Source organism: Homo sapiens, chromosome 1 (assembly GCF_000001405.40).
Source record: "Homo sapiens chromosome 1, GRCh38.p14 Primary Assembly".
Taxonomy (NCBI): Eukaryota; Metazoa; Chordata; class Mammalia; order Primates; family Hominidae; genus Homo; species Homo sapiens.
Window position 1 is genome coordinate 148054431 of NC_000001.11, and position 27963 is coordinate 148082393.

The 27963-nt window shown below is 42.7% G+C and overlaps 1 pseudogene across 1 annotated transcript in view, besides 3 other annotated features; it reads left to right on the top strand.

The window, feature by feature from the left end:
* PDE4DIPP1 (PDE4DIP pseudogene 1) overlaps nt 1-27963 on the top strand; it is a 45476-nt pseudogene that overhangs the window by 5129 nt on the left and 12384 nt on the right. Inside the window, exons 2-4 of the transcript NR_146087.1 lie at nt 26150-26323; nt 27218-27331; nt 27771-27960. The product of NR_146087.1 is annotated as a PDE4DIP pseudogene 1 (transcript). The remainder of the gene's footprint in view (nt 1-26149; nt 26324-27217; nt 27332-27770; nt 27961-27963) is intronic.
* Nucleotides 5436-5936: an enhancer, noted in NCBI's record as "H3K4me1 hESC enhancer chr1:147532116-147532616 (GRCh37/hg19 assembly coordinates)". NCBI's record gives its function as "activates a minimal SCP1, AML or CMV promoter by ChIP-STARR-seq in naive H9 embryonic stem cells {active_cell/tissue: H9 hESC(naive)}" and the evidence as "EXISTENCE:reporter gene assay evidence [ECO:0000049][PMID:30033119]".
* Nucleotides 5937-6437: an enhancer, noted in NCBI's record as "H3K4me1 hESC enhancer chr1:147532617-147533117 (GRCh37/hg19 assembly coordinates)". NCBI's record gives its function as "activates a minimal SCP1, AML or CMV promoter by ChIP-STARR-seq in naive H9 embryonic stem cells {active_cell/tissue: H9 hESC(naive)}" and the evidence as "EXISTENCE:reporter gene assay evidence [ECO:0000049][PMID:30033119]".
* Nucleotides 25034-25534: an enhancer, noted in NCBI's record as "H3K4me1 hESC enhancer chr1:146009957-146010457 (GRCh37/hg19 assembly coordinates)". NCBI's record gives its function as "activates a minimal SCP1, AML or CMV promoter by ChIP-STARR-seq in naive H9 embryonic stem cells {active_cell/tissue: H9 hESC(naive)}" and the evidence as "EXISTENCE:reporter gene assay evidence [ECO:0000049][PMID:30033119]".

A 27963-nucleotide genomic window follows, 5' to 3' on the forward strand; every position in this document is an offset into this window, starting at 1 on the left:
AGCCACCTTCAAAAATGTCATTAAAGGCTTGCGAGAAAATGTAAGGAAACACAGAAAACCTGATTTTGAAAGTTGCCGCCTCTCCTTCTTCCTCATTCAGAGCGTGTACGATATTGCTGTGCGGTGTTTGTTGGACTGCAATTTAGCACAACACCTTTTCTAATATTTGGCAGTTTCTTGCAGAGTTAAGCCTACCCTATAAGGAAGCAAATTTACTTTCATTCATTACCCATGAAAAATGAACACATACATCCAATAAGGCTTCTACAAAAAATGCTCATAGCAACCTTATTTTTATACTAAGGAAAAACTGGGTACAACACAGTCTTCATCAACAGAAGAATTTAATACCTACTGTTATATAGTCATAAAATGACCTCATGCACAGCAAACAAAAACAAGCAAAAAAAAAAAAGTAGGAAAAGTATGAAAAAACACAGTAACATGGGTAAAACCCTCCAAACACTATACTTAGCAAAAGTTGCCTATAAAAGTATCTTTTGAACATCTAAAACAAATTTATCTTAATGTACCTGTCTGATACTCCTGTGTAATTCCATTTATATGAAGCATCAGGACTCAACAGTGGCTCCCTCTTTGAGGTACTTTGATGGAAAACTTCCTGGGTTGATGGAAATGTTCTATGTGGCTTGGTCTAGTTGATACTTACAAGGGTCTATACATTTATTAAGCTTCATGGTACACTTTTTACATTTACATTTTTAATATAAAAATAATGTTAATTATTTTTAAACTGCCAAAATCCCAAAATGAATACTTGTTTTAGTATTGGTTTAACCCTGAGATATATTTTTTACTTATATACATACTGTAAAATCTGTATAATAAAGTTTGGAGTAAATTAGACCTTTTTACTCTTCCTACACAATGCTAGAAGTCTGGAACATCTTAATTCCATTTACCCTCCTTGTGATTCTCAAGTTACTCTCATTAATTTTAAGGCACCATATATTTTAAGTCACATGGACATCATTATGATCATTGGATTAGTAAAACGTACTATTTGACTGAGCCACACATTAAACCTACACATCGCCCTGCGTTCCTTCGTTCCCTTTCCACATTCCCCGGGGATATTTCACATTTTCGCATTTCCCTTAGTTAGCATGTGCTGCTTCTCCAGAAAGGTCTGCACTTCACCTTCACTTGAAAGATCTGTAGTCTTGGGTTAGGAGCCAGCAGTCAGTTGAAAATGGTAGTATTTTAGAACTCTATGATGTCTTACTTTTTCACTGCTGTGAATTTAGCACCTGACCTTTGGACACAATAGGAATTTCCCCCTCTGGGGGCTGCTCTGGTTTTCCCATGTGCCTTGGGCATTCAGCAGTGTCCTGATGACATGCCTCGGTGTGGTTTGTTTGTCCTTATGCTGCTTGGAGTTCATAGCTCTTCTTGCACATGTGCCTTGATGCCTCGTTGGGTTTGTTTCTCTTAATTGTCCATAGGTAAGAACTATTTCTTTTCAGTATTGCTTCTGTCCCATTTTCTGTCTCCTCCAGCTTCCAGGACATTAGTGACAATTTATTTTAAGCATTTATGACATAACTCATATATATATATATATATATATATACACACACTTGTTTCTTAGTTTTCCTTCCTGCTAGCTCTCTCTCCGCTTGTCTGGAAAGTCTCCGCTTACTTATCTTCAGGCTAGTAATCCATCTTCACATGGATCCAAACTGCCATTACACCAATCTATTGACTTTTTAAAATAATAACTATTGCATTTTATTTCTAACTTTAATAGATTTTCTTTCCAATTATAAGTATTTATTACATCTCTATGTTATTTCTACCATTACCGTATTTTATTTGTATAATTTCCATTTTATTTCAAAATAGGTTATTATTTTCTGGTGAAAATTTTTACCGTCTCTTCCATTCTTCTGAACATCTAAATCATATCATTTGAATGTTACTGTCTTATAACCTCGATGTCTCCATCATCTGTGAAAAACCTACTGTTTCCTGTTTTGAGTTTGTTTTCTCTTGCCTCTGCTTCTTTATATGCCTAGAATACTATGACTGAATGGTGGGTCTCTGTGAAAAATTATGAAAGGACTGAGTCGTGTTCTCTGTCTCTGAAGATGAATTCCCCTCTGCCCCTGGCAGGCACCAGAGGCACAGATCACCTCAATCCCATCTCTGTCTCGGCTGACCTGCAGCTTGTTTTTCCTCTTGGGAAACTCAGCAGCAGGATTTTTCCCTCAGAGAAACATCACATTTAAAGCATACATAGAAAAAGGTGGGGTTTTTTTCATAAAAAGTCTTAGTTTTCTTATTGTAAATTTAAACACATGGTTATTACTGTTCTTAAGCTAATTGGGCTAGCCTGGGCAACACAGTGAGACCCCGTAACTATGAAAAATAAAAACACTAGGCAGGCATGGTGGCATGTGCCTGCAGTCCCAGCTACTCAGGAGGCTGGGGCAGGAGGAGCACTTGAGTCCAGGGGTTCAAGGCAGCAGTGAGCTAGATCATGCCACTGCACTCCAGCCTGGGTGAGGAATAGAGACCCCGTCTCTGAAAATTAATAATAATCATATAGTAATAATAAGACAATTGGGGCAGTACCTCCTTTATATTGATCAGATACTCGATTTGTCTATACCCTCCAGAGGAAGACAAAGTATTCTACTTTGTTTCCTGAGAAAATACTGTGTATTTATATATGAAAAAAATCCATTAAAATACTGGGCATTCTAAAGCATCTAAATGTCATAAGTAATATCATTTAAAGTGGAAACAGAGGCAGTGGTGTCTATCAAGGATGCTTATCAGTGAGGGAAACAAAAGGAATCATTAAGCACCCTTGGATACCTGGAGGGCCCCTCTGCCAAAAATCTCAGTAATTCTGTGATACACTTTTGAGTCTAGCAGGTTATTCTCTTTTCCAGAGTACGAAGTTGCCAACCTAAAAGAACAACCAAGAGAGAGTGGTTCTCCAAAGAAGTGAATGTTTGGGAATAAACAGAGGATTTCAATCCAGGATATGCGCACTATCGTATGAGGACCCAAAGGCACAACCAGGCAGGCTGAGAAGGGGAACCTTTAACAGCGAAAATGAGGAAGGTTACATAGTTGTTTTGAAACAATTATCCTTGGCCACAAGGAATAATCACAAGGGTGGCATCAGTCCAAGGATGAATAGGCAGTTGCTGGGCAGATGTCGTTGCAGAGAGATTCTTTGGGTAAGGTTGTGGTGGCCTTTGTGCAAAGTTGTGGTTTTCAGAGAGTTCTTGTAATAGTTTTTATCACAGGCATGTGTGTGTGAGCACCCCTCCTTTATGATCTCCTGATTGAATTTTGTTAGGATTTGGCATACGTGACTCCATTTTTCATTCTGACAACTTTTACAGGTCATTGCTTTTCATCCATTTTTACTAAGGGCTGGACTTGCTTAAATTCCAGGAAATTATGAGGTCTTGATTTGTATAATTATCACAAGTGCTCATGTTGCTGACTCAGTTGCCTATTTGGGATGTTATAATTGTCTTTTTTCTCCTTCCTGTGCTGTAATTTACACAATCCTTAGAGGAGATTAATTTGATACTTTTCAGCTGTGAAAAACTTGAATATGCCAATCAAAGAAAGGTTCCCCTCACATGCTAGGAATTTAGTTTCTTTCCTGTGCTAAGATCCATTTAGGTATAGCACTTTCCTGGAGCCAAGAGTTCTTATGAAATGGGGTGTGGCATATTGTGTATTAAGATCATCCTTATTACAGAGATGCCATTCTTGCAGATATTGACAGCTAATGTGTCCCTAAGACTTTTACCAAACATCAGATAGACAAGATATGAAAACCTTCTCATTGCTGCAGTCTCAAATGTCAGGAAAGACCAGAATCTTTAGGATAATGGACAATCAAGAAAGACTCACAGACTAGATTAGCTGTCATGTACTGCCAATCAGGGAATGGATCCTTGTCAACCACCACCTAACAGAGATTGTCCCCAGAAGTTCACTCCATAACATCAAAACCAGAAACCCACATTGGTGCCACTGATGACAGAAAATAATAATGCAAAAATGAGAAAGAAACAGTGAGAGAGAGAGAGAGAGAGAGAGAGAAGACATAGAGGGAGACAGAGACATGTACTACAGCCATACTTAGTGATTAAAAGCCAAAGAGCTCAATTTCTATTCATGATATTCATTAAAAGAAGCAAGGAAACAGGAGCTAATAGCTCTGAGGGTTCAGGTCTACACAAGATGCCTGTTGGGTGGAGGGTTCTGTTGGCTCCAGTGATGTTTCTCAGATGTGCTAATTGTTATGGACATAGCCCCTGAAAAAACCTATCAAATAATAATACAGGGACAGCTATCTGCATGCTAATTTACCATTGTATAGGAGGGAGAAAGGGCATTAGATTGGTTTTGGCAAATAAAAGAAAAACCAAGATTTATGAAGAAAAGAGGAAAGGGGAGAAGAAAAAAATTGCCTGGGACCTTTGTGATTTTGCTCCCCTTGTGTAAGGGACTTGACAGAAAGCTTTCCAAGAGGTCGCTGTGGCCCATCTTCTCTGGACCAGTGTGACTTGGTCATCACAGAAAACAATCACGGATGTTGGAGGACTTTAAAATATCTTAGAAGTTTAGCAGTTCATCCTATGTCACAGAGTTTCTGTGTGCGATGTCCACCATGTCCTTCTGTTGTACAACCCCTCAGTTAAGCCAGGAGGGTGCCTCTCCCCTCACGACCAGCCTGGGCAACACGGCGAAATCCCGTCTCTACAAAAAATACAAAAATTAGCCCATCGTGTGGCGCACGCCTGTAGTCCCAGCTCCTTGGGGTGCTGAGGCAAGAAAATCGCTCGGCCCCAGGAGGTCGAGGCTGCAGTGAGCCATGTTTGCACTACTGCATGCCAACCTGGGTGACCAAGGCTGGAATATCATACATCCATGTGTAGAAAGTTTGTTGTGCCGGCAAGTAAATGACAAAGGGGACATTAACAGAACTGAGAAACAAATTGGAATACGATTTGGTACCGCTCCCACGAAAGATAAATTTGCAGAATGTACTCAAATTGGAAACATTAAATAAATTCTATAATGTAAAATTAGCACATCCTGTTGTCCACACTATAGAAATATCTGCACAAGTGACCTAAGATATGTGTACAAGAATGATGGTGATTGCAGCATCATTTGTAATCCTAAAACTATGAAACGCACCTCACTTCAAAAACATTTTGAAAAGGGTTAAATAAATCATGCACAAACTCAAGAAGAAATGCTGTTCTCACAAACACTGGCGATGATCACCATGAGGATGACTGATTCCACTGGTCACATTATTGATAGAGCAATCAGTAAACCCAGGCACATCCTGGGGATAGGATACTACTGTAATAGGCCTCCTATTATTAAACATGAAAAACTTGAAGCACAAAATGTCCACCTAACTGACCCAAGTCATGGGAGCAAGGAAGATTTTTATCACACCACAGGTGAGATCCTTTCTAAGGTCTATGGGATTCCTGAGTTTGATAGGTATAACGCGCGGTGGCCCTTGCCAAGCCTCAGACTTAAGGTGGATAGGAAGTGGGGACATGTGTGTCTGGTGATCAATCAGGAGTTGGTTGTCCCATCAACAGAAACAGGTTAAAATAAAGCCCCAGGGCCCCGGCTGGAACTACCAACCTTTCTATTAACAGCAGAATGCTCTAACGAATTGCGCTGCAGGTACACGTTCCGTGCCTTCTTCTGGGTGCTATAGGAAGGGTGCACTCAGCAAACTCCCCATCCCCTCAATCTTCAGGGGCCCTCCTGGCAGGACGACTGTGCAAGTTCCAGGTCCTTGGAAAACCGGAGAGATTAGAGCGGTGAATTGTAGTGTTGGACACCTGCGCGTTGGGATATTCTAGAGCACGAAGGACAGCCGAATGGCCTTCGCCCGCCCTGCCCCTCGCCTGCTTCAGAAGCCCGAGGAAACGCCCCCGTCAGCGACCCGAGCCGCCGCCTCGAGGCTCAGGGGAAGCTGAACGCCCGGTGGGCTCCTGGGATGCATCTTCGCGTTCTTTGCGCCGCCTTCACCCACTGAGGGAGCCTGTGCCCACCCTGCCCAGTCGCTTTCGGGGCCGCTGCGGAGCTTCCGCTGCCATCTTCGGATCCTGTGTCCCGCACGGGGGCTCCACCAGGGCAGGGATGATGGTGAGGGTCGCTCGTGGGTCCCCTCGCGGGAAACAGGGTATGGCACTCACCAGAGCGCACGACTAGGACTTGAATTAATCCATCGTCGCATTCAGTTTTTAGTCTTTTGAAGAGCTCTGAAAATAGAAATCATGAACTGTTTTTCCATGGGGAAGTTTTGTTTTGTTCTGTTTGTGAGACAGGGTCTCACTTGGTAGCCCAGGCTGGAGTGCAGTGATGCAAACACGGCTCACTGCAGCCTCGACCTCCTGGGGCCGAGCGATTTTCTTGCCTCAGCGCCCCAAGGAGCTGGGACTACAGGCGTGCGCCACACGATGGGCTAATTTTTGTATTTTTTGTAGAGACGGGATTTCACCGTGTTGCCCAGGCTGGTCGCGAAGGGAAAGTAAGTTTTTTTTTTTTTTTTTTTTGATACAGGGTCTCGCTCTGTCGCCCAGGCTGGAGTGCAGTGGCGCGAACTCGGCCCACTGCAAGCTCCGCCTCCGGGGTTCACGCCATTTCCTGGCTCAGCCTCCCCAGTAGCTGGGACTACAGGCGCCCGCCACAACTCCCGGCTAATTTTTTTTCTCTTTCTTTCTTTCTTTCTTTCTTTCTTTCTTACTTTCTTTCTTTCTTTCTTTCTTTTTAGTAGATACGGGGTTTCACCGTGTTGGCCAGGATGGTCTCGATCTCCTGACCTCGTGATCCGCCTGCCTCGGCCTCCCAAAGTGCTGGGATTACAGGCGTGAGCCACCGCGCCCGGCGGTAAATTCTTTTTAAAAAGCGTTTATTCCGATGGATTTCCTGGCATCCCGTGGGGCGGACAACGGGCTGAGGCCTCCAGTAAACCTTCTGCGCGATGGAGCTGCGGGGGCTCAGCTGCGCTGTTTTTGGGTGGGTGCCTGGGGCACTAGGGCGGGAGCGGGGCACTGGGTGGGTCCAACGGGTAACTGCAAGGAGGAGAGCAAGGAAGTCGGCAGAGGCGGCGACCCTGGCGAGGAAACTTCCCAGTAGCTTTGTTCAGCGGTAAGGACCGGATCCCTGAGAGACAAAAATCATCTTTTCTACTGTAGCAGAGTGGGGAGAACGCCAGGAAAAATGGAGAGACACCAAGAAAGAAGGAAAATCATGGGGACCCTTAGGCCGAAGCAGCCCTATATTAAGTTTAAAGAAGAAAGCAGGCGGCTTCCTGTGATGGTATATTGGTTAGTACTCTGCATCGCGGCCAAGGGTGGAATCCCAGTCATGGCAGTGTCCCTCCTGGGGCGTGGCACTCCTCCTTTCCTTTAGACTCCAACCTCTGCCTAGGCTGCGCTTTTACCTGCGACTAGAGAGGTTACAACTTACCAGTGCCTTCGGAGCTCTGTGCAGTGGTGAGAATAGAAGGAACCCCTACCTTGCATGCTGGGGTCCAGTCATCTTGAAAGGCTGGGCTTTTGCCCCCTCTCTGAGCAAGTGCAGCACCCAAAAGGTGAGGTGCTCCCTCTCAGTCAGCCTTATTGGAATCCTCCACTATTACCACGATGTGGCCATAACCGTTTTTCTGGTTCAGATATTTCAATCATCCGTGGGGCCTTTTAAGGCCGAATCAGAAACAAGCGAGAGGACATGAGGATAGTTTGCACTCCAACTGGGAATTTTAAGTAAAGCCTAAAGAATACAATAAAATCTAAACTTAATGTCATTCCCCAACACCCAATTGTTATTTGTTTTTATTTATTTATTTGTTTATGTATTTTTGCTATCAGTAAATGACTGAAGTATAATCCACACAGACCAAAGTGTTCCAATCTGAAGTGCACAGCCCAGTGCATTTTGACGTAAGAAACCATCACCCAGATCAAGTTATGGGACATTTTCACCAGCCCAAAAAGTCATCAGAGCCCCTTTCCAGTCAGTCCTCACCCCATCCCCACTTAGGCAATCACCATTCTGATTTCTATCTCCATGGGTTACTTTTGCTTCTTCTTGAAATTCACGTAAAGGAATATACTGATTCTGTTTCTTTTTTGAATGCAACAATGGTTTTGAGATACATTCATTTTATGGCATGTATCTCAACGTTTTGATGTTATTGATGAATACAATACCATTGATGGAAGATTGGAATATTTCTACTTTTGGCTATTGTGAATAAGGTGTTTATGGGCCTTTTTATGGACCTGTGCCTTCATTTCTCTTGAGTATAAACCTGGTAATGGAATGGCCAGGTCATGGAGCAGGCATATTTTTAACTTTATTAGAAACTATCAGACACTCTTTTAGAATGGTTGCACCATCATATTCTCTTGCCAGCAACAAGGGATACATTTGCTCCGCACTCTTATAAGCTAGTGGTTTTCCCTGTCTCTTAAATGTTGCCCGTTCTGATGGGCGTGTAATGGTGTATCACGGCATTTTAAATTTGTGTTTTCTGAATGAGTGACGATGCTGATAATTCTTTCTTTTGACATTTGGACATGAAGAAATCCTCTTTTGTGAACAAACACTGTTCAAGTGTTTTGTTCATTTTAAATTGGCTTGACTCTTTCCCCTCACCCATTTTTACATAAACTTTACTGTTAGAATAGAAAAATTGAGAAGCTAGTACACAGAATGGAGTAAAGAGGCTGGAATGGGTTTGGGGAACCAACTCACATTTTATGGTTAACACATTGTTCAAGAACAATGTATGTTTTCCAAAGACATCCCCTTATTGAAATACGCAGAGAAAGTGTGGGATAAAAGAGCGTATACTAAACATCTCAGAACGAGTTTCTGGAAGTGGACAAGGGAATGGGAATGCGATAAACAGAGAAAAGGAGAGACAGTTAAGGGCCTTGCTCAGAGCAGCCACCATAATGTGCCCTGTGCTAAGGACATGGAATTTTGAAAACAGAAAGTTCACCCAGACAGACCAGTCTAGATAAGAAAGGCAGGAAGAGACTTTAAAAAACAAAGCAAAAACAGAGAAATCATACAATGAGATGCTGGGAATGAGACTATGCCCATCATCTCCAACATAACACTAATTACTGCTAATTGTAATGAATCTAAATCTCTCAGATTGGATAGAAAAGGAAATGCTGGCTCTAACAGTTTAATGGACAGAAAAGGGTTAAATATTAAAAGCAGTGCTTATTATCCTTAGCAAACTAATGCAGGATCAGAAAACCAAATACCACATGTTCTCACTTATAAGCGGGAGCTGAATGATGAGAACATGTGGACAGATAGGATGGGGGTGGGGACAGCACACACTGGAGCCTGCCAGAAGGTGGGGCTGGGAAGAGGGAGAGCATCAGAAAGAGGAGCTAATGGAAGGTGGGCTTAGTACCTGGGTGATGGGATGATCCGTGCAGCAAACCACCATGACACACATTTACCTATGGAACAAACCTGCACATCCTGCACATGTACCCCTAAATTTAAAGTAAAACTGGAAGTAAAACATTTAAAAAGAAAAGAAAACAAACAACAACAATAACAACAAAAAGAGTGGTGCAAATCTGTACCAGGCTTATTGGAAACAAAAGAATGAGAGTGAAAACATGGGTATCAGACAAAGGCAAACAGCAAAACAATGCTTTATATTAGCTAAAGGAGTAATATCCTAGCATCTAACTAAAGTCGAATGGAATCGAATGGAACTGTTTTTCCCTGAACTGGCCTCCTTGGGTGGCCAACCAGGGCATGGTGAAGGGAAAAAATCTTGGAGTGCAATGTCCATTTCTTTGCTCTTGTTTTGGTCTCTGTAAGGCATAAGAAGTTAAAAAGCAAGATCTGATCTTCGGAGTTTTCCAGGAATTCGAAATAGGTATATGAGGAAAGAAGCTCAATTATCACCCAGGTCTCCGGGAGTATTCCAGGTATAGTGCCAAGAGTCCAGCTTTCCGAACCGGGGTCCCTGGGTTCTGAAGGCCTTTTTGGGGAAAGTACTGATGTTTTTGTCAAGGTTGGGGGGAAAGGGTTTGGAAGGCCCCAACACCCACCACTGGTCACACACATACTGGCTGAATTCCAGACTATGCTGGCTGGTCTCAAACTCCCAACCTCAGGTGATCTGCCCGCTTCAGCCTCCCAAAGTGCTGAGATTATAGGTGTGAGCCACTGCACCCAGACCCAGCTAATTTTTTTTTTTTTCTTTTTTTTTTTTGGAGACAAGACTTTCACTCTTGTTGCCCAGGCTGGAGTGCAGTAGTGCGATCTTGGCTCACTGCAATCTCCACCTTCCAGGTTCAAGCAATTCTTCTGCGTCAGCCTCCCGAGTAGCTGGGATTACAGGCATGCGCCACCATACCTGGCTAATTTTGTATTTTTAGTACAGACGGGGTTTCACCATGTTGATCAGGTTGGTCTTGAACTCCTGACCTCGAGTGATCTGCCTGCCTCGGCCTCCCAAAGTGCTGGGATTACAGGCATGAGCCACTGCACCCAGCCTGTTTTCAAGGTTTTTATGAACACTGGTACCTCCATCATTTTCAACAGGTACAAAAAGCAGAAAGTGGCAAGAAGAAAAAGCCTACAGTTAAGTTTCCTTCATTCAACAAATACTAATTGAGTATCTACTATGTACCAAGGCACTGTCCTAACACTTATGAAAAAGAAAACATCAATAATAAGAGTGGTGAGGAAATAAGAAATTTAAAGACATATAGGAATTGTCTAAAGGCCAAGTAAATCTTTGTCTTTTAGACTAAAAGGCTGTGCTAAAGTAGTGAATAATAAGCAAGAAAAAAAAAAGAAGAGTGAATGATAAAACAGAAAAATGTTTTCCTGTATGACTAGAGGTCATTCTTAATGAGGACAATACAATCATCTAGGGGATAGTTGGGACATCTATGGAAGTGCTTTGGTTGTCACAGCAGTTAAGAAGTGCTTCTCACTATTCACAATAGCAAAGACATGGAATAAACCCAAATGCCCATCAGTGAGAGACTAGATAAAGAAAATGTGGTACATATACACCATGGAATACCATTCAGCCATAAAAAGGACGAGTGATTACTTTGCAGGGATGTGGATGGAGCTGGAAGCCGTTATCCTCAGCAAACTAACATAGGAACAGAAAACCACACATCACACGTTCTCATTTGTAAGTAGGGGCTAAATGAGGAGGACACATGGTGGGGAACAACACACACTGGGGCCTGTTGAGGGAGCCTCAGGAAGAATATCTAATGGATGCTGGGCTTAATAGCTAGGTGATGAGTTGATCTGTGCAGCCAACCACCATGGCACAGGTTTGCCTACATAACAAAACCTGCACATCCTGCACATGTGCTCCGGGACTTAAAATAAAAGTTGCAGAAAAAAAAAAAAGTGTTACTGACATTCAGTTGGCAGAGGCCAGGAAAGCATAGGCAAGTCCAGCACAAAGAAAAAATGTCTTTATTCTCAAACTTCCTTATGAATAGTTAACTGGATTTTAAAAATCTGTATAATTACCAAAGCCTAGAACCTAATTACATTCTACGTATAAGCACCAAGTCCTTCTGCATAATTTTATTTATTTATTTATTTATTTTTGAGACAGGGTCTCACTCTGTCACCCAGGCTGGAGTGCAGCGGTGTGATCACGGTTCACTACAGCCTTGACCTCTTGGGCTCAGGTAATCCTCCCACCTCAGCCTCCCAGGTAGCTGGGACTTCAGGCACGTGCCACCAAGCCCGGCTAATTTTTAAAAAAATTTTTTGTAGAGACAGGGTTTTACCATGTTGCCCAGGCTGGTCTCCAACTCCTGGGCTCAAGTGATCCAACCGCCTTGGTATCCCAAAGTGCTGGGATTACAGGCGTAAGCCACCGTGCCCAGTCCATAATTTTAATATGTACTAAATGTCCAGAAAAGCAACTGCTGAATAAAGTAAGAGAAAACTGTACTTTGGGGCAGATGCAGTGGCTCACGTTTGTAATCTCAGCACTTTGGGAGGCCAAGGAGGAGGACAGCTTGAGACAAATTCAAAACCAGCCTGGGCAACTAAGTGAGACCCCATCACTACCAAAAAAAAAAAAAAAAAAAAGAAGAAGAAAGAAGTTGTACTTGAGTTTTATTTGTACATTTGCAAAGAATTGTTCACTGTACTGGTTTGCTTCTCCTGGTATTTAAGTTGCAAATACCCTCATAGCAGTCTACTCAGGTAGCTGTCATGTCAAGCTAATCTGTCAGAAATATTTTCTATTTATCCTTTATCTTACTGCAAGATAATTTTTTTAATTATATATGTAGGGCCGGGTGTGGTGGCTCACGCCCATAACCCCAGCACTTTGGGAGGCCGAGGCGGGCGCACTTGAGGCCAGGAGTTCGAGACCAGCCTGGCCAACATGGTGAAACCCTGTCTCTACAAAGAATAAATAATAATACAAAAAAATTAGCCAGGTGTGGTGATGCACGCTTGCAATCTCAGCTACTTGGAAGGCTGAGGCACGAGCATCGCTTGAAGCACCCAGGAGGCAGAGGATACAGTGAGCCAAGATCACGCCACTGCACTGCAGCCTGGTTGACAGAGATTCTGTCTCACAAAAAAAAAAAAAAAAAAAATATATATATATATATATATATATATATATATATATATATATATATATATACACACACACACACACACACATATATGTAGAAAAGCTGTATTACCTGTGGATTTCATTTCACTAAAGAGAGTATTTCAAAATACTTATAAGAAGAGGGCACTGAATCTGAGAGGTCTGAGAATTAACGGGCTAGAAGATCAGCATCATTGTAGGATACCTGCAGGTCTCAGTTAATCCAGCAAAAGGTAAGAAAGAGCATGTAACTATAACTGTTTTTTCTTTTGAGAATGTAAATTCTAAGCATGGTGAAAGGTAAGCAAAATGAAACTTCTGGAAGATGGTACTATGGGTTAAAAGTCTATCCAAATCTGTACAACATCAAAGTGAGTGGCAAGGAGGTAAACATTACCTTGTCTACTAAGAAGTTTCCTGTGACACTTGTTCAAATTATCAAGGAGAGAGATTAATCTGTCCTAACAGATTTTCAAGGAAGACAAAACTAACTGGTCTGGCCAGGCGTGGTGGCTAACACCTGTAATCCCAGCACTTTGGAAGGCCGAGGCAGGCGCATCACTTGCAAGGTCAGGAGTTTGAGACCAGCCTGGCCAACATGGTGAAACCCCGCCTCTACTAAAAATACAAAAATTAGCCAGGTGTGGTGGCGCACACCCATAATCTCAGTTACTCGGGAGGCTGAGGCACAAGAATTGCTTGAACATGGGAGGCGGAGGTTGCAGTGAGCCAAGATTGCACCACTGCACTCCAGCCTGGGTGACAGAGTGAGGCTTCAGGTCTCAGAAAAAAACAAAAAACAAAATCTAACTGGTCTGTTTTGGGAAAAGAGTCACCAACAGTCTACTTATCATACAAGAAAAGTATGCCTGGTTTAAAAATCACTGGTGCCAACTCACTTCTTCTTTTAATTTTTTTTTAAGAGATGGGGTTTCGCCATATCACCCAGGCTGGTCTCAAACTCCTGAGCTCAAGTTACCCACCCACCTCAGCCTCCCAAAGTGCTGGGATTACAGGTGTTAGCCACCATACCTGTCCTACTTCTAACTGATATACATGCATCTGGGGACCTCTGAGAAACTCTGAACAGCAAACAATTGAAAAAAGAAATTTCTAAAAAAGAATAATTTTTCAGCACCTAAACTTCTGTATGTGAAACTATAACAACAACCTAAAATGCTTCTAATACGGTAATGGCCCTATTTCTCTGCAAATAAGGATTGCTCATGATTCTTACACTGCCTTTCAATTAGGATTATACAGCTCCATTCCTCATTCAAGCTTCCAATACGTGCACCTAAGTATCATTTTACAATGGGATATACTTAGGTAAACTGAGACGGTCAGATGACTCAGCGAGAAGTCACCCGAAGAATTTTAGAACAAAGATTAATAACTCCAATATACCCTCTCAACCAAGAATTTGAAGAAACTAAAAGGTTAAACACAAAATTTCTGGAGCTTATGAAACTTCTGAGAGGTATAAGAGAAACACAGAAAGTAAAACTAAAAGTTAGGCTTGTTGTCTGCTTTTCATTTTGTTTTCAAACTGGGATTTCCAGCTGTCTTACTAAATTACATGCAGTGTTTCTATCTCAATTAATTCCCAACTGACAAAAAAATGTGGATAGTTTTCTTTTATAAGTTGCCCTTACAGTATGTAACTTGAGAGGGGTAATCCAATTCCTCTGGTCTCAGTAATTCCAAAGACAGAAAGTAACTCCAATAGATACTGCTATAATGGAATTGCAGCCACTAACTGAGCCCTAGTTCCTGTTCTAAACCCTCTCTCCCATCAGAGGTTTGCCTAAAATTATACGGTCTCAATTTTCTTACTGAAAATTCACTGGGATCCCAAAATTAAAAATCAAACCTACACCAAAACAAAACCTTAAACACAATTAGCACAAGATGACACCGACTATCCCTCTATCTATCCCAGGGTTTCTCAACCTCAGCCCTCTTACCTTTTTGGGCCCAATATAATTCTTTGTTTTGAGGGGTCTATCCTGTGCACTGCAGCATGTTCAGCAGCATCTCTGGCCTCCACCCACTGCATGACAGTAGCAACCCTCCTCTAGCCCCTAGTTACAAAAATCAAAAATGTCTACAGGCTGGGTGTGGTGGCTCACACCTACCATCCCAGTACTTTGGGAGGCCGAAGCAGGACTGCTTGAGGCCAGGAGTTTGACACCAGCCTAGGCAACACAGTGAGACTCTGTCTCTACAAAAAATTAAAAAATTAGCCGGGTGTGGTGGTACAGCTAGTTGGGAGGCTGAGGTGGGAGGATTGCTTGAGCCCAGGAGGTGGAAGCCGCAGTGAGCCGTGATCACGCCACTGCACTCCAACCTGGGCAACAAAGTCAGACTCTGTCTCCAAAAAAAAGATAAAAAATTGTCTACAGACTTTGCCAAATGTTCCCTGGGAAACAAAACTACCTGAAATTGAAAACCACTGCTCTAGGCTATCTCATTTATTGCTCAGCAGGCTGTGAGAGATCCAACCTGGCCAACATGGTGAAACCCTCGTCTCTACTAAAAATACAAAAATTAGCCAGGCATGGTGGCAGGCGCCTGTAATCCCAGCTACTTGGGAGGCTGAGGCAGGAGAATCACTTGAAACTGTAAGGCAGAGGATGCAGTGAGCCAAGATCGTGCTACTGCACTCCAGCCTGGGTGAAAGAGGGAAACTCTGTTAAAAAAAAAAAAAAAAAAAAAAAAGAGGCAACTAAACATAAAGAAATACAAAGTGTTAGCACATCTAGTTGGTACTTCCCCCGAAAATACAAAAAAATTTCTTCTGCAGTGAGTTCAATTTTCAGATTTTTTTCTTCCTTATACTGAAAAAGTCCCACAAATTTCCCCAATATATACATTTATATTTATCAGTAGAATTACAAGGATAAACTAGCCTCTACCTATAAGAATACATATTTATTTCTAGATATTGCAGTGAATATACGTACTTCACTGTACGTTCAAATTTCACATGGTAGCACCTACATTTTGTACCACTGTAGCCTTTTAAAGATGTCAAAACACTGAAGTCATCACTTTTTAAATATAATTACTGGGTGTTCAATTCATATCAATCATTCAATTAAAAAATATTTAATTAGCAACTGCTATATAGCACCAGATAGACATCTCTCTGGGACCTTTCTAAGAATCATGCAACTTAGAAAGGTCAGTTGAGCTTAAACGGTCACAAAGTCTTTAAGAAATCTGCTTTTTAGCTACTTTTATTATGGGTGGTTTGAACATTTTCCTGTATTAGAGTTATTGCAAGTACAATACAATGATGAATGCCTTCTCTAGCACCTAGATAACATTACTTATTGATAAGGAAAACATTTTATTAGATCAAAGAAGATGATAAAATAAGAAGATAGAGGGAGAGAAGCCTACTACATAGTTTCTTCAGGTGGAGCCTGAAAGCGAGCAGTCCTTAACCTGATCTCTTCATCTGGATTTAGGAAGATACCCTGATCTCCATAAAATACTTAAGAACCACCCTAGTCTCATCAATACCAAAAGTAGGTTACTCTGCATATGATTTATCTCACCTGTTTAATGATGACTCTACCAGATTTAATCACATAAGGTAACATTCCCTGACCTTGATTTAATGGGGAAAGACGGATGGTAGGGTGTAGGAATGGAATAACACCTTTACGCTCCATGACACAGCCCTCTGTGGTGTACTACCCAGTCATTCATCATCAATGTAGCATACTAACTCCATTAGTCTTGGCTTCACATTGTCTCTCAATAAGATAGGTAAGGTAGGAGTTTCTGCTATGGTTTTGAAAATAATAATCTGAAGTTACTTTAAGTATTTATTCTATAATCTGATGACCAAAAAATCTACAATGGCATTTTACCCAATCCTACAGAAACTTAAAATCCTGAGGCTCCAGACTATATAATCGAAATCTCTGATTTTAAAATCCAAGTTTAGTACTCACAAAATTTTACTAAAGTTATTTTCACTGTAAATAGGAAAACACTTTTAATAAGGAGAAAGAAATTCCTAAACCAATACTCACTTGGAATGGAGACTTTTTTGAAACCTAACAGAAAACAATGCCACTAAATATGTTTTCATTTTAAAATTCCCTTCATGATTTCTCCTTATTTCTTAATGTCCTCTTTCCAAATGAACCTTTTGTCCTCTTTTTGAATGGTTTTTTTTTTTTTTTTGAGATGGAGTCTCGCTCTTTTTGCGAGTGCAATGGCACGATCTCAGCTCACTGCAAGCTCCGCCTCCTGGGTTTTCAAGCGATTCTCCTGCCTCAGCCTCCCGAGCCCAGCTCAAATCACTAAATTGCTTAGATTAGAGGCGCCCACCACCACGCCAGGCTAATTTTTGTATTTTTAGTAGAGACAGGGGTTTCACCATGTTGGCCAGGCTGGTTTTGAAGTCCTGACCTCAGGTGATCCGCCCACCTTGGCCTCCCAAAGTGCTAGGATTACAGGCACTAGTCACCATGCCCGGCCCTCTTTTGTCCTCTTATCTGAGTGGATCCAACCCAAAGACACACAAAGCTAAAATTGATCAGGATTAGCAGTAAGGAGTGTTATTCTGTCAAATTAAATGAATTCAGCCTACATGTGGCTTTAAAAAAAAAGGTGAAATAATAAAGTAATTAAATTTTAAAAAGAAGAGAAGAGTTATTAAACCTTGCAACCTAGTCCCGTTGAACACAATTATGGCTCTGAAGCAGACCTTCCCATTGAATGGGTGAAGAAACCTAGTGAGAGCTCATTAAAAGCTGATGTAAACTCAATACCCAGCCTCTGGTGTTCAGTGAGGACAGCACTCATAGATGATGGGTTCTTTCTTTCTTTTTCTTTTCTTTTCTTTTTTCTCTCCTCTCTCCCCTCTCTCTTCTCTCTCATCCAGACTGGGTCTCTGTTGCCCAGGCTGGAGTACAGTGGCACAACCATAGCTCACTGTAACCTCAAATATCCTGGGCTCAAGTAATTCTTCCACCTCAGCCTCCCAAGTAGCTAGGACTACAAGCACATGCCACCATACCCAGCTAATTTTTATTTTTTTTTGTTGAGACAGGGTCTTGCTATGTTATCCAGGCTGGGAGAACATTTTAAACAAAGGGAGACAGAGGTCTAAAAATAGATAATGCATAGGAGAATGGTGAGGTAAATGCTATGGCCAAGGCACAGGGCGTGTGGAGGAATGAGTTGGGTTTTTGAAGTTGATTAGATTAAATCATGGAGTCTTTTTCTTTTTTGAGATAAGCTCTTGCTCTGTCACCCAGACTGGAGTGTAATGGCACAATCACAGCTCACTGCAGCCTCGACCTCCCGGGCTTGAGCAATCTTCCCCGACTCAGCCTCCTGAGTAGCTAGGACCACAGACACACACCACCACCCCTGGCTAATTTTTTTAATTTTTGTAGAGATAGGGTCTCACTTTGTTGCCCAGGCTAGTGCCAAACTCCTGGGCTCAAGCAATCCTCTCCTGCCTTGGGTTCCCAAAGTGTTGGTATAACAGGTGTGAGCCACAGCATGCCCCAGTGAGGGATGGTTCTTGGTATCCAACTATCACAAGAGTCAGTACCCTCTTTGTTTACTTTGTTTTTATAAAATTTATCCATATCTGATTTTGACTGGGGTATTAAGCCTTTTTATATATTGACTATAAATGGTTTTTAGGTTTTAGGTCCTTCATTTTGCTCTTTGTTTTCTATACATATTTTTTTTGATTTTAGGTTTGGGGGCACATATGTACATTTGTTACACGGATAAACTGTGTCACTGGAATTTGGTGTACTGATTATTTCGTCACCCAGCAACTGACCATAGTACAAGATAGGCAGTTTTTTGACCCTCATCCTCCTCTTACCCTCACCACCTCAAGTAAGCCCTCGTGTCCATGTTTATGCCCATGTGTACTCAATGTTTAGCTCCCACTTTTAAGTGAGAACACGTGGTACTTGGCTTTCTGTTCCTGCTTTAATTCACTTAGGATAATGACCTCCAGCTGCATCCATGTTGCTGCAAAGGACATGATTTCGGTTTTGTTTTTTTTAAATAGCTGTATAGTATCCCATGATGTATATGTACCACATTTTCTTTATTAAGTCCACCACTGATGGGCATCTAGGTTGATTCCATGTCTTTGCTCTTGTGAATAGTGCCACAATAAACATACAAGTGCATGTGTCTTTTTGGTAAAACGATTTATATTCCTCTGGGTATATACCCAGTAATGGATTGCTGGGCAGAATGGTAGTTCCGTTTTAAGTTCTCTGGGAAATCAAACTGCCTTCCACAGTGGCTGAACTAATTTACATTCTCACCGGCAGTGTATAGGCATTCCCTTTTCTCCACAACCTTGCCAACAACTGTTATTCTTTGACTTTCTAATAATAGCTATTCTGACTGGTGTGAGATGGTATCTCGCTGTGGTTTTGGTTTGCATTTCTCTGACGATTAGTAATCCTGAGCATTTTTTCATATGCTTATTGGGCTGCATATATGTCTTCTTTTGAGAAGTGCGTAGGCAAAAAAACCAAAATCATACCAACCACACTCTCGGATTATAGTGCAATTAAAATAGAAATCAATACTAAAAAGGTCTCTCAAAACTATACAATTACATGGAAATGAGACAACTTGTTCCTGAATGACTTTTCAGTAAAAAATGAAATTAAGGGAGAAATCAGAAAGTTCTTTGAAACTAATGAAAACAAAGATACAGCATACCAGAATCACTAGGATACAGTTAAAGCAGTATTAAGAGGAAAGTTTATAGCACTAAACACTTCCATCAAAAAGCTAGAAAGATCTCAAATTAACAACCTAACATCACACCTAGAGAAACTAGAAAAACAAGAACAAACCAACCCCAAAGCCAGCAGAAGAAATAACCAAAATCAGTGCTGAACTGAATGAAATTGAGATGTGAAAATCCATACAAATAAATGATAAACGAAACCAAAAGTTGGTTCTTTCAAAAAATAAAATTGATAGACCACTAGCTAGATTAATAAAGAAAAAAAGAGAGACGATCTAAATAAACACCATCAGAAATGACAAAACTGACATTACCACCAATCCCACAGAAATACAAAGAACCCTCAGAGACTATTACAAACACCTTTATGCACACAAACTAGAAAACCTAAAATTCCAGATAAATTCCTGGAAACATACAACCTCACAAGACTGAACCAGGAAGAAACTGAAATTCTGAACAGACCAATGACGAGTTCCAAAATTGAATCAGTAATAAAAAACCTGGCCAGGGCCATGGCTCATGCCTACAATCCCAGCACTTTGGGAGGCAAAGGCAGGCGGATCGCTTGAGCCTAGGAGTTCAAGACCAGCCTGGGCAACATGACGAAACCTTATCTCTCAAAAAAAAAAAAAAAAAAAAAAAACAGCCAGGTGTGGTAGCACATACCCGTAGGTCCAGCTACTCAGGAGGCTAAGGTGGGAGGATCACCTGAGTCTGGGAAGTCGAGGCTGCAGTGAGCCGTGATCATGCCACTGAACTCCAGTATGGGTGACACAGTGAGACCCTGTCTCAAAAAATAATGAAAAATAAAAAACTTACCAATCAGAAAAGGCCCTGGACCAGATGGACTCACAGCCAAACCCCACCAGACACGAAGAAGAGCTAGTACCAATCCTACTGAAATTATTCCAAAAAATCGAAGAGGGACTCTTCCCTAACCCATTCCATGAGGCCAGCAGCATTCTGATACCAAAACCTGGCAAAGACACAATGAAAAAAGAAAACCCCGGGCCAATATCCCTAATGAACACAGACACAAAAATTCTAAATAAAATACTAACAAACTGAACCAGCAGCACATTAAAAAGCTAATGCAGGCCAGTGTGGTGGCTCACACCTGTAATCTCAGCACTTTGTGGGGCCAAGGCAGGCAGATCACTTGAGGTCAGGATTTCAAAGCCAACCCGGCCAACACGGGGAAACCCCATCTCTACCAAAAATACAAAAATTAGACAGGTCTAGTGGTGCAAACCTGTAATCCCAGGTATCTGGGAGGCTGAGGCACGAGAATCGCTTGAACCCAGGAGGCAGAGGTTGCAGTGAGCTGAGCTCGTTCCACTGCACTCCAGCCTGGGCTAAAGAGCAAGACTCCGTCTCAAAAAAATAAATAAATAAAAATTAAAAGCTAATCTACCACAATCAAGTAGTCTTTACTCCTGGGATGCAAGGTTAGTTCAACATAGGCAAATCAATAAATGTGATTCATCACATAAACAGAATTAAAAACAAATACCACATATCAGGCCAGCCGCAATAGCTCATGCCTGTAACCCCAGCACTTTGGGAGGCTGAGGCAGGCAGATTGCTTAAGCCCAGAAATTTGAGACCAGCCGGGGCAACATGGCAAAATCCCATCTCTACAAAAAAGAAAAAAAAAATTAGCCAGGCATGGTGGAACGCACCTATCTACTACTACTCAGGAGGATATAGTGGGAGGACACATTGAGCCCACAAATTCAAGAACAGCCTGGGCAACAAGACAGAATAAATTCTGTCTCTATTTAAAAAGAAAAAAAGAGGCCGGGTGCGGTGGCTCACACCTGTAATCCCACCACTTTGGGAGGCCAAGGTGGGCATATCACAAGGTCGAGATGGAGACCATCCTGGCCAACATGGTGAAACCCCGTCTCTACTAAAAATACAAAATTTAGCTGGGCATGGTGGCACGTGCCTGTAGTCCCCACTACTTGGGAGGCCGAGGCACGAGGATTGCTTGAACCCAGGAGGTGGAGGATGTAGTGAACCGAGATCGCACCACTGCACTCCAGCCTGGTGACAGAGCGAGACTCAGTCTCAAAAAAAAATAAAAGGGAATATACTGTATATTTGAAAATTGCTAAGACAGATTTTAAGTGTTCTCACCACGCAAAAATAAGTATGTGAGGTAATGCATGTTAAATAGCTTGATTTAACCATTCAGTGTATACATATATCAAATCATGCTGAACACTATAAAAAATATAGTATACAACTTTTAGTTGTGAAAAAAACATGATTTATTAAATATTTCTCCCTTCTTCATCAACTCCCTCTTCCTTTTGCTACCTCACAGTCTTTGGAATTCTCAATCTGAAATGTACCCATCCCTCAAAACTCAATTTAAATCCCACTGGCCACACCAATGCTATGAAATTCCCCTCTCTGAATCCTAAAGCACATATCCTCATTCCCTTTATGCTGTTACTTTTTCTATGTTTGCCTTGTCTTTCCCCAAAAGCTGTAAGATCCTTAAGGGCAGGAGCCACATATCACTCCCTATCACCTCCAGGACACTCAGCAGAGAACCTTGGATATATTTAGGAAGAATCCGGTTATACTCAATTGTGTTAGGCCTCAATTTACAAATCAGACATGACAAATAATATATCACACCAAAAAGATCAAGAAACTTCTCCAGGCATTAACTAAGGCTTAGAAAAACACCTATTCAGCCTTTCAAATTATCCCTTTGAAGTAAGGACTTAAAGGTGAGAAGAAAAGATATAATCAATTGGGGAAGTTTAGACTGTCTTCTCACTCTTTTTTTTTTTTTTTTTTTTTTTTTTTTTTTTTTTGAGACAGGGTCTGGCTCTATTGCCCAGGCTGGAGTGCAATGGTGCGATCTCAGCTCACTGCAACCTCTGCTTCCTGGGGTCAGGCAATCCTCCTACCTCAGCCTCCTGAATAGCTGGGACTACAGGTGCATGCCACCACACACACGGCAAATTTTTTTATTTTTTGGTAGAGACGGGGTTTCTCCATGTTGCCCAGGCTAGTCTCGAACTCCTGAGCTCAAGCGATCTGCCTGCCTTGGACTCCCAAAGTATTGGGATTACAGGCCTGAGCCACCACGCCTGGCCAACTTCTCACTCTTAAAGGCAAAATAGTGAACAGCAACTTAAAGATCAAAAAAGCTAAGGATGGAATATTCAACAAGGCATCACATTCAACAACACACCACTGGTCACACACATACTGGCTGAATTCCAGACTCCCTCTCTATGGTAAAAGAGTTCTGCAGGCTCTGATGTTGGCTGGAAAAAAACTAGACACCTGCTCTTCCCAGCACTGAAATATGGCCAAAAAAAAAAAAAACATAAACACACAGCAAAATCAGCAAACAAAACTAAGTAGCATTTAGGCGGGGAGCAGTGGCTCACGCCTGTAATCCCAGCACTCTGGGAGCCCGAGTCGGGTGGATCACTTGAGGTCAAGAGTTTGAGACCAGCCTGGCCAACATGGTGAAACTGCATCTCTACTAAAAACACAAAAATTAGCCAGGGTGCGGTGGTCGTGCACCTATAGTCCCAGCTACCCGGAGGCCGAGGCAGGAGACTCTCTTGAACCCAGCAGGTGGAGGTTGCAGTCAGCCGAAATCATGCTCCTGGGTGATAGACAGAGGCTGTCTCAAAAAAAAAAAAAAGAAAAAAGAAAAACAGCTAAGTAGCATTTAGATGAAACTATGACTCTGAAGTAGGGGGTGCGGCAAGTAGAGAGGAAAGAATGTATCATAATGCCTTAAACAAAACTTTTGAGTGAGAGAAGACTATAAAACACCCTTTAAGCACTTATTCACTGGACTCCATTTGTGTTTCTAAGAAATAAGATATACAGACTCACTTCAGAAGGTTTTCTCCTACACTGTATCTGAGACACCATAAATAGAAACATACATTATGTTGCCACTCTATCACAAGACTGAACCTGGACACTTGTAAGGAAAGGAACAACCATAAAGACAGTTGGCCAAGGACAGGATTGACATTCACCCTGGGGGAGCTCCTCGTAGTAGCTACAAGCCAACCCAAAACAGCTTCTGGGTTTGTGATGCTGGTGCTGGCTAGTATGCTGCATAAATGTTGTTTGTTTTTGTAGAGAGGGGTCTCACTCTGTTGCCCAGGCTGGTCTCAAACTCCTGGCCTCAAGCAATCCTCCTGCCTCGTCCTCCCAAAGCACTGGGATTACAGACCTAAGCCACCGCGCCTGACCTACAAAAGTGTTTTCTTCCCAACCACAGCACTGCCTCTCAAGGGGCTAACACTCTGGCAGAAACTCGTGAAAACCAATTTCACGTCAGAGGAAGCATCCCCAACATTCTGTCCCGGCTCTTTTTCTTAGGTGAAGAAAGGGACAGGGCGGGGGGCGGAACAATGATATTAAAGACACTGGCAGCATGACAACCAAAATAAACGAAGTTGAAACAGTACGTCCTGCCTTCTTCCTAAAGCCATTTCCTTCAACAGCGATAGGAGTGCAGACCGTCTGCAAGTCATTAGTACGCTGCTGTCTTCACTGTCACAAGGACCCTGGAAACCACTGAAGAGCAAAATCCCCCTTTTCGCCCCACAGATACCTTCCAACCCCCTTTCTGTGCTTCCTTCCCTAGAAAAAACCGAAGAGTGACAATCCTCAGCAATCCGCTATTTCGCTTCACTGACAAGGGAGGTGGCGGGGGCGGTGGGGGGTGAAAAGTGGAAAAGAACACAGAGGAAGGTGAGAAGACACAGTGGAAGAAGTGTGGGGGGAGGTCATCGTAGGAAAAAGACCAGGTATAAAAGAATGCAAGAAAATTGAGGGGAGAGTTATCAGAGGGAAACTTGCTAAGAAAAAAAAAAAATTAAGGACACGGGAGGTGAAGAGGTGAGGTCAGGTGGAGCAGCCCAGGATGAATTAAGAGGTGGGCAGGAGGTACGGGGCCGAGGCCGTGATGCCCAGGGTTTAGGGCCGGCGGCTTAGAAGTGGGCAGCAGGTATTCGGCAGACCGATGTCCGGGGAGTCAATGATGTGCAGAAAGCTCCAGACCCAGTTCCGGGAAATCGGGGCCAGGAATCTATGAGGTTCCCAAGTATAGAGAACACAGCGCTCTTACCGGTAGTTTGGGGCTGACCTCGCCCTTGCAAAAGTGGCAGAAAAACCGGTGGGCGGCGCCGTGGAGCAGGGGGCGGCGCTCATCGGGGAGGCCCCGGCCGCACAGGAGCCCACGGAGGGGGCGGGAGGCTCAGGCATGGCGGGCTGCAGGTCCCGAGCCCCGCCCCGCGGGAAGGCAGCTAAGGCCCCGCGAGAAATCGAGCACAGCGCCGGTGGGCTGGCACTGCTGGGGGACCCAGTACACCCTCCTCAGCCGCTGGCCCGGGTGCTAAGCCCCTCATTGCCCTCACTGCTCCGAGTGCGGGGCCCGCCAAGCCCACGCCCACCCTGAACTCCGGCTGGTCTGCAAGCGCCGGGCGCAGCCCGGGTTCCCGCTCGCGCCTCTCCCTCCACACCTCCTTGCAAGCTGAGGGAGCCGGCTCCGGCCTTGGCCAGCCCAGAAAGGGGCTCCCACAGTGCAGCGGTGGGCTGAAGGGCTCCTCAAGTGCCGCCAAAGTGGGAGCCCAGGCAGAGGAGGCGCCGAGAGCGAGCGAGGGCTGTGAGGACTGCCAGAACGCTGTCACCTCTCAAAATGACGTAGAGTTTACAGATAACCTACTCACATCCTCCCGTATGCTATGTAAATAGTTGTTATGTGGTATTGTTTAGGGAATAATGACAAAGAAAAAAGTCCATATATGTACAGTGCAAACACAATAATAAGTTTTCAAAAAATATTTTGGAGTCAGGCCTGGTTGAATCCATGGATGCAGAACCTACAGATATGGAGGATCAAATGTAATAAATCTCTCTCTCTTACTATATATATGTGTGTGTGTATAGTGTGTGTGTATTTATATATACTGTGTGTGTGTGTATATGTATGTATATGACTATTGATACAGTGGTAAGGAGTAGGGGAGGGAAGTGTTCCATAATCCTATGATTAGGTCTCAGTCTTGTGGTGGGCCTGTGCCCCTGGGCTGTGACCTTCAAAAGTGCTTCTCAAATTTTGTTCCCTCTTAGGTGAGACAGGATGGCTAGAGGTCACTGGAGTTGGGTATTTCCCTTTCCCTACATTGGTTAGACTCTGGAAACAGAATTTTCTTTTGAGGGCATGTGTTTGTTAAGTAGAACAGAATGCACCGGGCATATTTTTCAACAGTTACCTCTCCTTCCCCTCCAGAAGCACTCAAGGAGTTTTCTCTGATTCTCACCCTAAGTCTTCTGGAGACAAAACTCATGAAGGTATGGGAGGCTCCCACTAGTTAGGCCCCCAGGAGTTTTTACCTCTCAGGCTAGGCTGCTGTCAGCTCCAGCAATTAGCCAACTCCCTTTGAAGTATGTCTACCCAATGCTGGCTCCAGTGGTGGTTTCTGATCCAGGTAAGTTGTGATTCTCTGTATTTGCCCATGGCTCCAGGTTTCATAGGGTTGGCATGTCTTAGGACCTCCATTTTCTGTTGCATATAAGTAGTTATTGATGTTCGGTTTGTTCAGCTTTTTTCTGGTGAGAGTGGGAGTGATGGCTTTTAAGTGCTTTACAAGTCTGGTTGTCATTTCTGATAATCATGTGACAATTTTGATCTCTTTAAAAAGGTAATATGTTTAATTCAGGAATTGCGAAAAGCCTTGCAGCAGCTACAAGAATTGCAGAATAAGAGCCAACAGCTTCGTGCCTGGGAGGCTGAAAAATACAATGAGATTCGAACCCAGGAACAAAACGTCCAGCACCTAAACCATAGTCTGAGTCACAAGGAGCAGTTGCTTCAGGTGAGTTTACATGATTTCAATGAACACTGGGCTCATAGAACTCTGAAATTTGTTTATATAATTTTAAGATATTAATCCACCTGTGCTGAGTCCCTGCTATATGGAAAACATTGAGAGGTGGGAATCAGGAGGATTTAAAATAAATAGAAAATATAATTTGTGAATTAAGATGCTTACTAACAAGTGTAAGAAACAGTACATATAGCCCTGATTTATGCAGTCTTTTATGAAGTCTTTTATAAAGACTTAATATTCAGAAAATAGTTATTAAGCACCTCTGTGAGTCAAACACTTTTCTGGGTGTTGGGAAGACAAAAGATTTGGCTACTGATCTCAGTGTAATAGATGAAGACAAACTGTACAGAAACTTCCAAAGAGTAATTTTGATGATAGAATGAAAGTTTGAGGGGAAGATGGAGCATTAAGAAGAGACTGATCTGTTCTGCCACCTACTCTAAGCTTCAGTCACATTGAATCCACTACATTTCACTGAATGTACAATTTTTTCATTGTATGCATAGTGTGCATATTTTTTTTTCTCTAACATGTCCTCCTCTCCATTCTTCACTTAGGAAATCCTAGTCCTTTAATTAAGACTCACTGCAAATATTACCTCCTCTGTGAGGTCTTTACTGACACCTGCAGGCAGAGTTAGGCAGTGCATCCTGTGTTCCCCTGGTGGCTAGCGTATGTTGCACAACAGTTAATTCTATGTGTTGTGTCTGGTGTATGTTGCAGAATACTTTACAATTTATGTCTGTTATCTCTGCTAAACTTGTTACTTTTGAGGAGAGTGATCACATCTTGTTTTTTTATCCTGAATAACTAACAAATTACTTGGCAATTTAGTTAATATTGGATAAAAGAATAAAAGAAACGATGTTTTGGTCTCAGGAATTTCGGGAGCTCCTACAGTATCGAGATAACTCAGACAAAACCCTTGAAGCAAATGAAACGTTGCTTGAGAAACTTCGCCAGCGAATACATGATAAAGCTGTTGCTCTGGAGGTATGTATCATCATTTCGCCCACTATGCTATGGATTATTCTATCTACATAGGTATTATAGAAATTTGTGTTTACTTAAATTTGCTGGTTTTGGATTTGGTTTTCTATTCTGCCATCGTGTTAAATAACAGCGATCAGGATAGATTATTGAACAGATGGTATGTGAGCACTTGGAAAGTGGTGAGCATTAGAAACCAGAATTTCTCTAAGAGCAAGGTAGGACAGATTAAATAAGTGGAATGAAGGGTTTTGCAAAGACAGAGATGTACCCTTCTCCAGGCTGCGGGGGATGTTGAGCCAGCATGCTCTTCCCACCAACATAGGGCCTTCCTTCCCTGCTCCTTAGCTCTGTTTGTCAGGGCGGATGTGCTTGGGGTCATCTTCCTGCTGAGCTCTGGCCCCATGAAAATAAATCAATCCTCCTGTGTTCCTCTCACCAGAGCACTCCCAGGAGATGGAAAGCCTGAGGGAGGCTCTGCTGTCCTCTCGATCCCACCTTCAAGAGCTGGAAGAGGAGCTGGAGCACCAGAAGGTGGAAAGGCAGCAGCTTTTGGAAGACTTGAGGGAGAAGCAGCAAGAGGTCTTGCATTTCAGGGAGGAACGCCTTTCCCTCCAGGAAAACGACTCCAGGTA